This window comes from Homo sapiens, chromosome X (genome assembly GCF_000001405.40).
Source record: "Homo sapiens chromosome X, GRCh38.p14 Primary Assembly".
In the NCBI taxonomy this organism is placed as follows: domain Eukaryota; kingdom Metazoa; phylum Chordata; class Mammalia; order Primates; family Hominidae; genus Homo; species Homo sapiens.
Genome location: NC_000023.11, coordinates 41,081,350 through 41,095,480, shown reverse-complemented (window position 1 = coordinate 41,095,480; position 14,131 = coordinate 41,081,350). Strand labels below are relative to the sequence as shown.

The 14,131-nt window shown below is 43.5% G+C and overlaps 1 protein-coding gene across 8 annotated transcripts in view, besides 7 other annotated features; it reads right to left on the bottom strand.

The window, feature by feature from the left end:
- The window catches only part of USP9X (ubiquitin specific peptidase 9 X-linked), a 151,135-nt gene extending 141,099 nt beyond the window's left edge, over window positions 1-10,036 (bottom strand). For 4 of the 8 annotated variants that reach the window (NM_001410748.1, NM_001410749.1, XM_047442548.1 and 1 more), the window contains exons 1-2: window positions 9,372-10,036; window positions 7,816-7,864 (exon numbers count right to left, since the gene is read on the bottom strand). The gene's annotated coding sequence lies outside the window, so the exon portion shown is untranslated. The remainder of the gene's footprint in view (window positions 1-7,815; window positions 7,865-9,371) is intronic. The other 4 variants (XM_005272675.5, NM_001437534.1, NM_001039590.3 and 1 more) reach the window with 1 other exon arrangement.
- Window positions 8,842-9,301: a silencer, noted in NCBI's record as "silent region_20772". NCBI's record gives its function as "represses an Ori minimal core promoter by ATAC-STARR-seq in GM12878 lymphoblastoid cells {active_cell/tissue: GM12878}" and the evidence as "EXISTENCE:reporter gene assay evidence [ECO:0000049][PMID:35858748]".
- Window positions 9,426-9,963: an enhancer, noted in NCBI's record as "H3K27ac hESC enhancer chrX:40944771-40945308 (GRCh37/hg19 assembly coordinates)". NCBI's record gives its function as "activates a minimal SCP1, AML or CMV promoter by ChIP-STARR-seq in naive H9 embryonic stem cells {active_cell/tissue: H9 hESC(naive)}" and the evidence as "EXISTENCE:reporter gene assay evidence [ECO:0000049][PMID:30033119]".
- Window positions 10,002-10,381: a silencer, noted in NCBI's record as "silent region_20771". NCBI's record gives its function as "represses an Ori minimal core promoter by ATAC-STARR-seq in GM12878 lymphoblastoid cells {active_cell/tissue: GM12878}" and the evidence as "EXISTENCE:reporter gene assay evidence [ECO:0000049][PMID:35858748]".
- Window positions 10,502-11,041: an enhancer, noted in NCBI's record as "H3K27ac hESC enhancer chrX:40943693-40944232 (GRCh37/hg19 assembly coordinates)". NCBI's record gives its function as "activates a minimal SCP1, AML or CMV promoter by ChIP-STARR-seq in primed H9 embryonic stem cells {active_cell/tissue: H9 hESC(primed)}" and the evidence as "EXISTENCE:reporter gene assay evidence [ECO:0000049][PMID:30033119]".
- Window positions 10,502-11,085: a biological region, named in NCBI's record as "Sharpr-MPRA regulatory region 13807".
- Window positions 10,791-11,085: an enhancer, noted in NCBI's record as "tiled region #13807; K562 Activating DNase unmatched - State 1:Tss, and HepG2 Activating non-DNase unmatched - State 1:Tss". NCBI's record gives its function as "activates a minimal TATA promoter and a strong SV40 promoter by Sharpr-MPRA in K562 cells, with weaker activity in HepG2 cells {active_cell/tissue: K562 | HepG2}" and the evidence as "EXISTENCE:reporter gene assay evidence [ECO:0000049][PMID:27701403]".
- Window positions 10,812-10,881: a silencer, noted in NCBI's record as "silent region_20770". NCBI's record gives its function as "represses an Ori minimal core promoter by ATAC-STARR-seq in GM12878 lymphoblastoid cells {active_cell/tissue: GM12878}" and the evidence as "EXISTENCE:reporter gene assay evidence [ECO:0000049][PMID:35858748]".

Here is a 14,131-nt window from a genome sequence, read left to right as displayed (position 1 = left end):
TGAGTGGGGTAGGGGCTATACCACTGGCATCTTGTGGGTAGAAGCCAGGGCTGAGTAGGACAGCACCTCACAACAAAGACTTATCTGCCCCAAACTGTCAATAGGGTTAAAAAACCCTGCCTGATCTCAAGTTGATCCCTCTGACCGGAAGTCCCTGCTCTAATTAATAGGGCCATGAAAATAGGACATCTTTGAAGACCTCACCCAATGCCAAACAATGATTTCTCCATCTCTCCTACTACACTTTTCACACCTCCACTTAATACAGCTGTAATTGCACTGTATAACTGTCTGGTTCACCATACTTCAGAGCCTTGAAAGCAGAGAATCATCTTTATATACCCTCTGGTGCCTAAAATGGCACAGGTTGAGCATCCCTTATCTGAAAAATCTGGAATCCAAAATGCTCCAAAATCTGAACTTTTTTTTTTTTTTTTGAGACGGAGTCTCGCTCTGTCACCCAGGCTAGACGGAGTGCAGTACCGCGATCTGGGCTCACTGCAACCTCCACCTCCTGGGTTCAAGGGATTCTCCAGCCTCAGCCTCCTGAGTAGCTGGGATTACAGGTGCACACCACCATGCCTGGCTAATTTTCATATTTTTAGTAGAGACGGGGGTCTCACCATGTTGGCCAGGCTGGTCTCGAACTCCTGACCTCAAGTGATCTGCCCGCCTCAGCCTCCCAAAGTGCTGGGATTACAGGGGTGAGCCACCGCGCCTGGCCCCAAATTTCGGATTTTGAATTTTCACTCACCCGCAAGTAATATTCCAAATATTCCAAAATATGGGGAAAAAATTACAAAATCGGAAACACTTCTGATCCCAAATATTATGGATAAGGCGTACTAACTGAATCTATATTAAATCAATGAATTCAATTCAATCACAGTAAGGTAGCACTGACATGATTCTCCTTCCCATAATGCACCGAGGATAACAAAGCAATCCTCAGCTGACATTGATATGGCTCAGATAACGACATGCACTGACATCAGACAAGAAACACACCAGGCACGGTGGCTCACACCTGTAATCCCAGCACTCTGGGAGGATGAGGCAGGTGGATCACCTGAGGTCAGGAGTTCGAGACCAGCCTGGCCAACATGGTGAAACCCCATCTCTACTAAAAATACAAAATTAGCCGGGTATAGTGGCACCCACCTGTAATCCCAGCTACTCAGGAGGTTGAGGCTGGAGAATCACTTGAACCCAGGAGGCGGAGGTTGCAGTGAGCCGAGATCACGCCATTGTACTGTAGCCTGGGCAACAAGAGTGAAACTCCATTTCAAAAAAAAAGAAAAAAGAAATACACCTGTAGTCACTACAGTAGGTTCCTCCTCCAACACTCAGTCTGGCCCCACAATCCCTCTTGCCTCAGCTCAGCATGCTCCAAGTCAACTCTTAAGAATCCTGGATAATTAATTATATCTACAAAGGACACAGTAAACAGATAATATACACACTAATTAAATGAGTAAATGAGATTTTCTATATTTTCAAAAGTCTGGACAAATGCTGTACATAGCCAGTATCCTCCTTTCACATTCCCGAAAATGTGAGAGAAGTCAAAAATTTCAAAAACGACAGTCACCTTTTTAGGGGTTTTTCCCACTCACAGAGTACAGAAACTTTTATTTCTAATTATACCCTCACCTTTCAAATGTAAACTTCATCATACATTTGCCTCACTTAATTCCTATTTCATTCTAATTATTGCATTCACTATTTGCACAAAGCCAACTAACCTAACCAATGAGCACAACCTAATCCAGTAAGGTTTAAGATTCATATCCCTAACCAGTTCCCTCTGTCTCAAGGATATTTAAGACCTCCAGGTAGGCCAGGCATGATGGCTCATGCCTGTAATCCCAGCACTTTGGGAAGCCGAGGCAGGCGGATCACCTGAGGTCGGGAGTTCAAGACAGCCTGACCAACATGGAGAAACCCCAACTCTATTAAAAATACAAAATTAGCTGGGTGTGGTGGCGCATGCCTGTAATCCCAGCTACTCAGGAGGCCGAGGCAGGAGAATCACTTGAACCCAGGAGGCGGAGGTTGTGGTGAGCCGAGATCGCGCCATTTACTTTTTTGTTTTCTGCTCATTCTTATAAAAAGGCAAAATACATCTGAACTTGCACATAAACACAAGATACTGCCGTACAAATACAGCAAAGCTGCTGAAACCAAACTATTCTCAGGCAATACCACCTTGCAATAAAAAGAAATCCCTTTCATCAGCTAATGTACAGAAGTTTGAACCTGACTTAAGGAAAGGAGGTTCAGAGTTGTTAACATATAGTGTATCAAATAGGAGGTCAAGCACAGTGGCTCAGGCCTATAATCCCAGCAACACTGGGAGGCCAAAACAGGAGGATTGCTTGAGGCCAGGAGTTTGAGACCAGCCTGGGAAACACAGTCAAACCCCTGTTCTCTAACAAAAATTAACCAGGTGAGGTGATGTCGGCCTGTGGTCCTACTTACTCGGCAGGCTGAGGTGCGAGGATGCCTTGAACCCAGGAATTCCAGGCTACAATGAGCTATGATTGCGTCACCACAATCCAGCCTGAGTGACAGCGAGACCCCTCCTCTTAAAAAAAAAAATCACTGCTCTTAACTAGGGGCTGGCAAACTATGGTAACAGACCAATTCCAGCCTCCTGTTTTTGTACAGCTCACAAGGTAAGAATGGATTTCACACAGAACGTCTGCAATCAATTTGATGACAGGGAACACTGAACTTTACCCAATAAAGCAAAATACTGTATTACCTCCCCTCCACACACACACACCAAATTGTTTTTCTCATTAGACCTAAGTTATACATAACTGTATTTAATTATATTTTTTATTTCACCAATAAAAATTTTACCCAATGTCCTCAATTTTGCCTCTTAGCCCACAAAGTCCAAAGTATTTACTATGTGGCCCTTTACAGAAAAAGTTTACTGATCCCTGTGCTCTGAACTCCAGAGATGTTACCAAGCAGAGCAACCAAAACTTTGTACACTACACCTCGACCAGAGAGAAAACACTGTTAGGCAGAAATGGGTTCAATACTATACGGTAACTTCCATGCTCTCTGGGGTCCAAGTTAATAATGAGCGGCCTTACTTAGGAGTTCTAAGTAACCAGTTAACAGAAAAGACTAGAAATGAGAGATGTAACCAACAGCCTCAACTTATAACTCTCAATAGCCACCAAAGTCAGCAGGAATAAAATGGACATCAAGGATACTAACAGGAGGCTTCGCCACTCCCTTTTTCCTTTCCACCCAATTCACAGGCTCTGTAGAAGATGGGATCTAATATGCACGATCACCAGCTCAAACTCATCCCAAGGAAAACAATTCCTTTGATTATGGTTGACTAACATGGTGTTCAAAGCTCACATGATTAATAAGAATAAACTGTAGGGTGCCATAAAATGAAGATGAATCAATTCTGTACAAGAGGTTGGAGGTACTGCAAGTTAAATACTGCCCCAGATTTTCCCATTCAGGTAATCAAATGGTTATTATAAACAGTATTATTCTAGGTGCTCTGTAATATACAAAGGTAAAGGACAGAATCCCTGACCTTATTATCCATTACCAGGGAGACAGTTTAATGTTAATTTTATGAGTGACTACAGAGAATTTAATAATTAATGTGATTTGACACATATAGATATAGCTTCATAAAGAAGGTAGTCTATGGCATGCTATCTTGGTCAAGTTACTTCACCTTTCACCTCTTTGAGCCATTTTTTTCATCTGAAAAATGAAGGGTCTGACTAGAAAGAATTGAGATCTCTTCCAGGATTTCTCATTGTAATGAGATTAGTAAGAAAAGTGACTCCCAGAAGTAAAAAGATTTAGCAAAAAATAAGTAAAATAGCAAGAATGTGATAAACTATATTCATCCAACAGTTACTAAATGTCTATATGCCAGGCACTTTCTAGGTGCTAAGGATATTATCACTGACTTAGAATGAAAGCCACTAACCTTAAAGATAGAATTGTGAGGACAAAATTAATCAAAACACCTAAACAAAGTAAATTAAATAGAAAAACACACTGTATAGAGATAATAGAGCATCAATACAGCAAAGGAATGGCAGGAGTAAGGGGTGACACCAGAGTATGTAATTTCTGGTCAAAAATTAACAGCATCAGAAGTACAGCTATTCCTAAAGCCAGTATGCCAAGAATTCCAAAAGAACCTATTTCTACTATACTTGACATTTGGGCTCACTGGAGAAAACTGGAGTTCAGAATGAAATTCTATTTAGTGACAAAAAAAATTCAATTGGCATATACCATAACAAAGTTTTTTTAAATAACAACTTAATCCAATCTCTCCTACGAGGTACATAAAAGAATGCCAGAAAACTAGCACTAAAGACTTTAGAGATCAGCTAGTCCAGCCCACCTCACTTCATATGTTAGCTTCTAGACAACAGTAATCTCTAGAACAGTGCCTAGCACACAGCAGATGCCCCAGAAGTATTTGTTGAACGGATTAAAAAGGAAACAAATGTCTTAACAGATATTAATGTTTATAGTAGAGCTGGAACCGTAACACCGAGAAGGTGCTAAGTGACAATAAATTTGATATATATGTGCACATATACTGTATATAATACATGTGAGTGTGGAATCCCTGTCTCTTCTAGTGTTTGAGCTTTTCACTACATGTTTGTGTTTCAGTCTGGAATTTTTGACTGTGTGACTAACAAAACGAAACTCAAACAAGAGTACTGCTGCCTAATGGTGGAACACATGACATGCAAAGGGTCTCAATTCTCCCCTTTCCCTAAAAGGGACTGCAAAAAAAAACCTCTGGTTACACATCAGACTCACCTATAGAGCAAATATATATTTTGAAAAAGCTCCACAGATGATTGATACACAGAGGTGGTAGAAAATCCTTGTTAGGCAGTGATTGAGAATAAAATTGAAAATCCATTTGCTGCCAAATATAAGATATGTGTGTATACACACGTTGAAGACACCAAGATTTAGCATGAGTATCTTTGAAGAATAAATTTTAGGTAAGCGATCTCATCCTAACAATATACTTTTTCACAAGTTATTCTTTAAAAGTATATTACAATGGTCATCACTTTATAATCCACAATAAATTATAAATTCAATGCCCAATATAGGTAAGTGTTAGAAGTTTTAAGTCTTTTTCCTTATTACATCAACTTTTTTCATGATCCTTATAGTCTCATTTTCTATAATTTAACAAAAAGATCTTTGGGGAATCTTGTGTCACACTAAGAATGCTCATAGGGCCGGGCCCAGTCGCTCATGCCGGGAATCCTAACACTTCGGGAGGCCCAGGTAGGCAGACAGCTTGAGCCCAGCAGTTCAAGACCAGCTTAGGCAACAAGGCAAAACCCATCTCTATAAAAGAGAAAAAAAATACAAATAGCCAGGCATGGGAGCACCTGTAGTCCCGGCTACTCAGGAGACTAAGGGGAGAGGATCACCTGAGCCCAGGAGAGGTGGAGGCTGCAGTGAACCGTGACCACTCCAGCCTCAGTGACAGAGTGAGAATCTGTCTCAAAAAAAAAAAAAAAAAAAAAAAAAAAACCCTCATAGATCCTAAACTCCTATAGGCTTCCCTGCTGCCATGCCCCCACCATGCAGAATTTGGTCCAATGGACCAAGGGGATTAAGAGACAGAAACTCCAAATAAATGTCTGTTATTGTTATTTCATTCGTTCCATAAAACAATTATACATCAATCCCAAAACAACACAAAATTCAAAACGCTTAATCAAAATCAAACTGATTTTGACTAAGACAAATAAAACTCTAAATTCTCAAACTGAGATAACAGAATTTCATGTGACACTAAACGGTAATTTGTGGGATCATTTAAATAAATTACTAGGAGACAAATGCATAGTTTCTACACCTTTTAGGAATGTTGTGTAATATTTTGTCATAAACGCACCAACTAAACTATCACCCTGAGCACGCTGGAAGATATATGGAAGGGGAGAAACCTATTTGCCACATAGCTTTTAACATCTCCCTTGGGCAACCAAGATATTTATCAAATTGGAGACTATCTTGATAGTCTTAAAAACTAAACTATATCTTAACTTACTCTGGTACGAGAAACAAACCAAAAGCTCTAAATGCTTTTTTAAAAATAGCAATCAGTGTCATTTCACTAACATAGCACAGTAGTCGAAGCACCACTGGTTGAACCTGACAGACCTCAGACCCATCGTAAGGCAATAAATGGAAAATGCTTAACAGTGCTGACAGACAATTAATGCTCAAATGATAATCATGCTAATAACTGAAAACAATTGAGAAAAAAATCCATTTTCTTATTTATCCACTTGAAAGTTCTAACAACATGATAAAAACAATAGCCCAGTGGTTTTCAACTCCAAATGCATGTAAGAATCATCCACAATGCTTTTAAAATATACCTTTGCCCAGGCTCCCTATCAGACCAATTAATCAGTCTCTGGGGGTGGAACCCAGGGATCAGTTTTTTTGTTGTGGTTGTTTTTTAACCCCGCCAAGTGATTCTCATGTCCAGTCAGGGTTGAGGTCCAATGCACTAACTCTTTCCCAAATATTAACGTTAAACTCTATGTTAAAATAATACAAGAACTTAGCAATACACAGGATGGCTTTCAAAAACACAGCTCCTAAAAGAACCAAATGACAACTAAAATCCGGTTTTTTCCCTTTTTGAAAAAAAAAAGAAAAACAATTCAAGACTCAGAAAACATACCTACAAGAGGGGAAACATAATGTAGGCTACCATAAAAAGTAATACGTTCTTTCAGAATAAAAATCAACTAACTCAATCTCAGGATAAGACCCCCCTCACCTTCACTGCCCAAAAGACTTAGAAGAACACTAATCCATTAACACACACTGCTAGATATTTCAAATAACTAATTCTTAACATCTGTTTTAAACAAAGATTGGTTTTAATACTAAAATTTTGAAACTAAAACGTTAGAAATTGATCTTATTAAATAAAAATAAGCTCAAAGACACTTGTTGTGTGACCAACTAATCAAGAACTGGATGATTAGCAAATTCATGACAAACATCCATTTCAAAACCATAAGCTGCATTATTACCACCATGTCAAAGAAAAATCTCTGAGAAGATAGCAAAGAAATCTCATACCTTAAGATATTAAAAACAAGACTCTGGAAGAAAAAAGATCTAAAGTAAATCCTACTTGAGCATTCCATAGATAAAACATGAGAACTGGGAGGTCGACACGGGCGGATCACGAGGTCAGGAGATCGAGGCCATCCTGGCTAACACGGTGAAACCCCGTCTCTACTAAAAATACAAAAAATTAGCCGGGCGTGATGGCACGCGCCTGTAGTCCCAGCTACCAGGGAGGCTGAGGCAGGAGAATCCCTTGAACCCGGGAGGTGGACGTTGCAGTGAGCCGAGATCGTGCCACTGCACTCCAGCCTGGGCGACAGACAAAAAAACAAACAAACAAAACCATGAGAACTATGGACTATGGAACACCAAACTAGAGACCCCAATAACCTGGTGAAAGGTAAAATCTGCCCTTCAATGTTCCTTCCTGAAGTAACTTAAGATTCTCACATGTACTGTTGCTGGTGCTATTACTCCCTCCAGAAATTCTCAGAAACTACCAAGGTCAGCAAACAAAAGAAACATGAGAACGCTGATAACCAGAATTACAAGTTACATGTTCATGCAAAAAAATACAAGAAAAGGGGTAGAGAGAATTCATATAGTCCAAACGTCCTATTTTTAAATTAGAGAAAATAAAACAGTAAAATACCAAAGACATTTTGAGTTCACCTGTGGAACACCAATTCCAAATACTTCAAGCTTTCACTCCACCCAAAAGCTGGAACGATAAAGTTTAAAGGGTTAAAGTTAGATGTATGACACAGCACATGAGTTTAAAAATTGAGAAAACGAATGTTGACACTTTTTTATATTTAATACATAATTCTTCAAGAATTTGAAGGTATTTGCTGAAACCAAAATGGCAGCCCAGCGAATTAGAAGACGAGCGAGATCTAAAGGAGAGTTTATAGTCTCTATTTTTGAGTTCAAGTGTACTAACCAGCCAAGCTAGTCATGGTTAAGGAGTCCTTACCTAAGGGTAATCAGCTCCGAGAGGGTTAAGTACCTGCTGGAAAGTTTCCTAATCAATGCACCCCAAATCATTCTTCCTCAAAAGTGAAAGTATACAAACGTTAAGTAGATTTAGGGACTCATGGGTTTCCAGGTAAAAGAACAGTACACATACTTCTCTCCCCGAAAAATAAAGCATGAATATTTAATCTATACCTACAACTTGCTTATTTAAACTAAAAGACAATCTGAAGCAATTATATACACCTGTAAACTGCACCGTGTAAATTCAATTAACGTTGTAACTATGGAACTTCCAAAAAATAACATGCTTAATTTAAGCAGGTTCTACTAGAAATTTTGCAAATTCTCGTGTAAGTTCTAGTCGCTACAGAAATCCACACAAATAATTTAAGAAGCCATCTACACACCTGCTGTATAACTCTTTAACTTATTTCACAATGAATGAAAAATCAGCCATTTATCCAACCCTAAGCCTCACGTCACAAGAATCTGAAGACCTGATCACTACCAAACTCGCACATGCTAATATTTGCAGAAACAGTTAAAAATAGAAAGGTAATAGGTCCAAGCTAGCTTGGAAGCGATTTCTGCATTCAAAAACCCCTTTCACGGCTTTGGCCCTCTGCAAATAAAGCGGGGCGAAGGAGGTGTAGGAGGCCGATAACCCAGCTCCCACTCCAGGAGCCCAGGGCCGGGGAGAAACTGCGGGTTATCGCGGGAGGGTGGGGGGAGGCGGACAAGTCGTCAGGCCTGATAGCCAGGCGTAGCCGAGGCCTAGCTCCCCAGCTCCAAATCACTCCACCTCAGTAATGGCGTTTGGTGTCAAGTGGAACCAGACCGGGTAGGAAAGCGGCCGCCGGGCGGGGGGCGGCCAGCCCCCAAACCGACCCGGCCCCCGGGTGCGGACGGCGGGGGGGCTGCCCGCCACGCCCGGAGACTCCATCCTCCTACTCGGCCCCAGACAGGACGGGAAGGGGGAGGAGGGGGAGGGACGGAGCCGTCAGCCATTTTCCCTTACAGTCCAAAACACACAGACACGCTCTCGGGACACCGGCTCCACACACAACACGGGCCCGCGCGCCCGCCCAGCCCGGGCCGGAGGAGGGGGAACGGGGAAGCCCCAGCCTGGCCGGCAGCCGCCGAGGGAAGAGGCTCGCACACACGCACACCCCCCTCGCCCTCCTCCCCTCACCCACATCCAGCTGTTGGCCCCGGGAAAGAGCGTCGCCCCAGTGCAGCTGGCCACTCACCGCACGACACAGACGTCTTCTCACAACCAGGGCACACGGAGGCGGGAGGCACCAGGCGACGGTGGGGCTCGGTCCCGGGACGAGACCTACCCTGGGTGCATCCCAGGCCCGGGGGTGACCGGCAACAAAGTGTATCGAAAGGCTGCGGCGGCCGGGCTCGGGGCTGCGGGCGTCTCAACCAAAAGGCTGCACACCGGCGCCGGAACTCGCTCCTCGCCGCGCCCGCCTCCTCCTCCTCCTTGGCCGGCGACGGCCCTCTTCCCCTTCTCCCCTCAGGCTGGGGCTCTCGCTGAGCTCAGACGGGCTCCGGGCGGTGCGTTTCTCCTGCGTCACCTCCTCCTGCTCCTCCTCCTGCAGCGACGGCTTCACCTTCCCCTAGTCGCCGCCTCTGTCCCCGCTCCAGGCCTGGTGGCTTTGAAGTAGCTCGCTCCTCGCTCCCGGCGCCGACCCAAGCACCGGGCGCTAAGGCGGCCGCCTCCCGTGAGAGAGAGGCGGCGGCGGCGGGCTCCCGCGAGGCCCGGGAGCTGTGTAAGGCGGGGAGGGGCTAGGCGCGACAGAGGCCCTGACGGGGCCGGGTGCGGAGAGGTTGCGGCTCCGGCGGCGGCGGAGACTAGCGTCCGCAGCCGCGGATGCCCGTCCTCGTCAATATGGCGGATCCGGCAAACCAAAAAAAAAAAAACCGCTCGGCCAGTGGCGGCGGCGGTAGCGGCGACGGCGGCAGCAGCGGTGGCGGCGGCGGCGGCGGCGCAGACTCCCACTAGCCCCAGAGCCGCCCAAGACCCGAAGTTCTCCGCCCCCGTCAGGGCCCGCCCCTTTCAGGCCCCTCCTTTCGGCCCTCCCCCTGCTCCTGCCCAGCCCCCTCCCGCTCAGCTGCCCCCTCTTCTCTCCCTCCACCCCGGGCCGTCAAGGCTGGGAGAGCAGCGCGAGCCGCTGAGGGGGCCGGGCTTCGGCGCGAGCCGCCGGGAACCCGGAGAGCTAGGGTGGGGGAGGGGAAGACAATGCGGTAAAGATTGTTCGCGCAGTACTGTTTCTTCCGGCTGGCCCCTTCAGGGTCGTGCTACGGCCAGAAATCCTGTTCCATGCCCCTCGGCTCAGGAGCGGGACGAGGGCAGAGGTGGCTCTAGGACCGAAGTTGGGGAAGGGAGGCCCGAAAAGATCTGGCACACCACTCGGGAGGGGCTGGGCGGCAGGGACTGGCGGGGTGTGTGGCCACGACAGGGTTAATCGCGTGAGCCGCAGCCGCGTCGCTCATAGTTTGACTCGGGCCGCTTGTTTTTGTTCCATTGTGAACCGTAGCCCCGCCGACAAGAACCCGGATGATGACGTCACCGGCCTCCCCCTTTTCCGGGACCGTGGGGGGAGGGGCGCGGAAAGATGAGATCTCGAGACCACGCGCTGGGCGGTCGCCGCCGCGGTGCCTGGAGGTCCCGGCGGTGCAGCTGACCCGCGTCACGTGACGCACGAGCTGGCCGGGCCACTGGCTGCGGGGGCGCGAGGTCCCGAGGGCCTGGCCACCTGCTTGGCGCCGATAGGGGGAAGGTGTGGCTATCTCCCGCAGCGGAAGGAGGGGGCGTGGGGAGTGAGGTCCTTTTCCCCACCCCGCGAGGGAGGTGCTCTGAGAAACTCTTTCACACGATCATGCATCATCACTACCTCAAAGCGTTTAGGCGTCCTCAAAGCGTTTAGGCGTCCTCACAGCCTAGCTGACGGGACTGACCACCTTTTTGGCCATAGGAGCCCTTCAAACAGACCAGCAAAGAAAAAAATTATAAAGTGCCCCAGACGGCTTAGCGAATAGGCCGTACTTGATGTGGCAAGATTAGCCTCCATTGCCAGATCATCAGCACAATTCGGTGTTAGGACCCGGAAGAAACTTATGAACCCATCCGCTGTGTCATGGACTATTTTCTACATGTTTATATTCCAAAGTGCGGGCATAGGAAAAACTTAGGCTAATCTCAAATTAATGGGGTGCTTGGAACAAATCTGTACAGTCTACCTAGGATGCCCAAATGAAGAGGAAATTAACAGTTCCTAATTTACAGATTTCCTTTTGACTTAAAAAATACCTGTGGACATCAAATGGCATGCAAAATCATAGTAAAACCCTACAAACCGAGATCTATTTTATAGAGAAGAGGGTTGAATTTAGTTATGCTATGATTATATCAGTTTGTAATAAAAGACTGTTAAAAATGGAACCAAACTAATGTAGGTGACAGTGAAAGCAAGTTATTGGTATCTTAAATTTTTAAACCATTTCTCTATTTAGCACAAGATTGTTTACAAATTTTTCACCACAAATTATCTAATAGGGTATCCAAGATGTATCATTCATAGCCCTAATAACTCTTAGCATATGTTACCTTGTTTTTATAATTATTTCCATGAATCATTTGCTTCCCCACTAGCTCATGGGCTTCTAAAAAGCAGACACGACCACCCGCGTACACTATAGGCTGTTATTTTCTATTTTAGATAAGGAAACAGAAAGGGTAAATGATTTGCCCGAAGTCAGGATTGGAAAGTGTTGAACACTGGTCTTTTAACCCTATCAAAAGTGCACCTTTAACAAGGATGTCCCCTCTCACCAATTCTGTTCAATATTGTACTTGCAGTTCTAGCCTGAAAAAGAAATGAAAGGCATCCAGATAAGAAAGGAACAATTAAACTATCGCTACTTTCACATGACATGATTTTATATATAGAAAATCTTGGGAAATCCATTATAAAAAAAATAAAGCCAATAAGCAAGTTCAGCAAAACTGCAGGATATAAGATCAATATTTAAACATCAGTTATAGTTTTACACACTAGCAATAAACAATCTGAAAATTAAGTTAAAATTCCATTTACAATAGCATCAAAATCAATAAAGTTAAAAATCGATTTAACAAAAGAAATGCAAGATTTGTACATTGAAAACTACAGAACATCATTGAAAAACATTCAAGACTGAAATAAAAGTATTAAGATAGCAATACTCCTCAAATTGATCTACAGAGTCAATGCAATCCCTATCAAAATCCCAGCAGGCTTTTTTTTTTTTTGCAGAAATGGACAAGATGATGCTAAAATTCATACAGATAAGGAGTTTCCCCCCCACCTCGCCACTAGCCAAAACAATCTTGAAAAAGGAGAACAATGTTGGGAGGGCTCCTACTTCCTGATTTCAAAACTCACTATGAAACTGTACTGCGTAAGGACAGGTATATATGCCAATGGGATAGAATAAGGAGCTCATAAATAACCCTTAACATATATGATCAACTGATTTTCCACGAGGGTGCCATGACCATTCAATGAGGGAAAGGATAGTCTTTGCAATAAATGGTGCTGGGAAAACTGGATATATATATATATATATATGCAAAAAAATGGAGTTGGATCTTTTCCTCACATAACATACAAAAATTAACTGAAAATGAATCAAAAACCTAACCATAAGAGGTAAAACTATAAAACTCTTAGAAGAAAACGTGACAGGGAAGTTTCACAACATTGGATTTGGCAATAATTTCTTGGATATGACAATAGCACAGGTGGAAAAAATAGACAAATTGGAGTTCAACAAAATTAAAAACTTTTGTGCATCAAAAGACACTATCAACAGAGTGAAAAGGCAACCTACAGAATGGGAGAAAATATTTGCAAATAATATATTTGATATGGCATTAATATCCAGAACATATAAAAAACTCCTACAACTCAACTCAGCAAAACAAAAAACCCAAGTCAAAAATGGGCAAAGGACTTGCAGAGCCATTTCTTCAAAGAATATATGTAAATATCCAATAAGCACATGAAAAGACACTTAACATCATAGTCATTAGAGAAATGCAAATCAAAACCACAATGAGATACCACTTCACACCCATTAGAAAGGCTATTAACCAAAAAAATAATAATAATACAGTGTCCGGCCAGGATGTGGAGAAATTGGAACCCTCCTACATTGCTGGCATGAATGTAAAATGGTGCAGCTGCTGTGGAAAACAACATGGCAGTTTCTCAAAAAGCATAAAATTACCATATGACCCAGCAATTCCACTCCTAGGTATATACCCCAAAGAAGGGAAAACAGGGACTGTAACAGACACTTGAACACCACCGTTCATAGCAGCATTATTCACAATAGCCAAAATGTGGAAACAACCCAAATGTCCATCAACAAATGAATGGATAAACAAAATTTGGTGTATACACACAATGAAATATTATTCAGCCTTAGAAAGGAATGAAACTCTGATACATGCTACAACATGGATGAACCTTGAAAACATTATGCTAAGTGAAAGAAGCCAGACACAAAGGCCACATATGGTATGGTTCCACTTATATGAGGTACCTAAAGTAGTCAAACTCATAGAGACAGAAAGTAGAATAGAGGCTACCAGGGGCTAGGGGGAGGGTAATAGGGAGTTGTTTTATGGGTTCAGAATTTCTGTTTGAGATGATGAAAAACGTTCTGGAAATGCAAAGTGGTGATGGTTGCACAACATTGCAAATGTACTTAATACCACTGAATAGTACTCTTAAAATGGTAAATTCTAAGTTATCTGTATTTTACAATAAAAAAAATGAAGAAAAGAAAATCCAGCCACATACAATTTCATATGGTTTAGGCTATACATTACTCTCCCACCAGCTGTTTTAGTCTCAACTCTCAAGTCAAGCTCACCACCAACTGATGCCTTGTGCTCTCTCGAGCTACCCAGAGGGTGCACCTTGGCTCCCAGGGTAGATTTGGCCTACAGGAC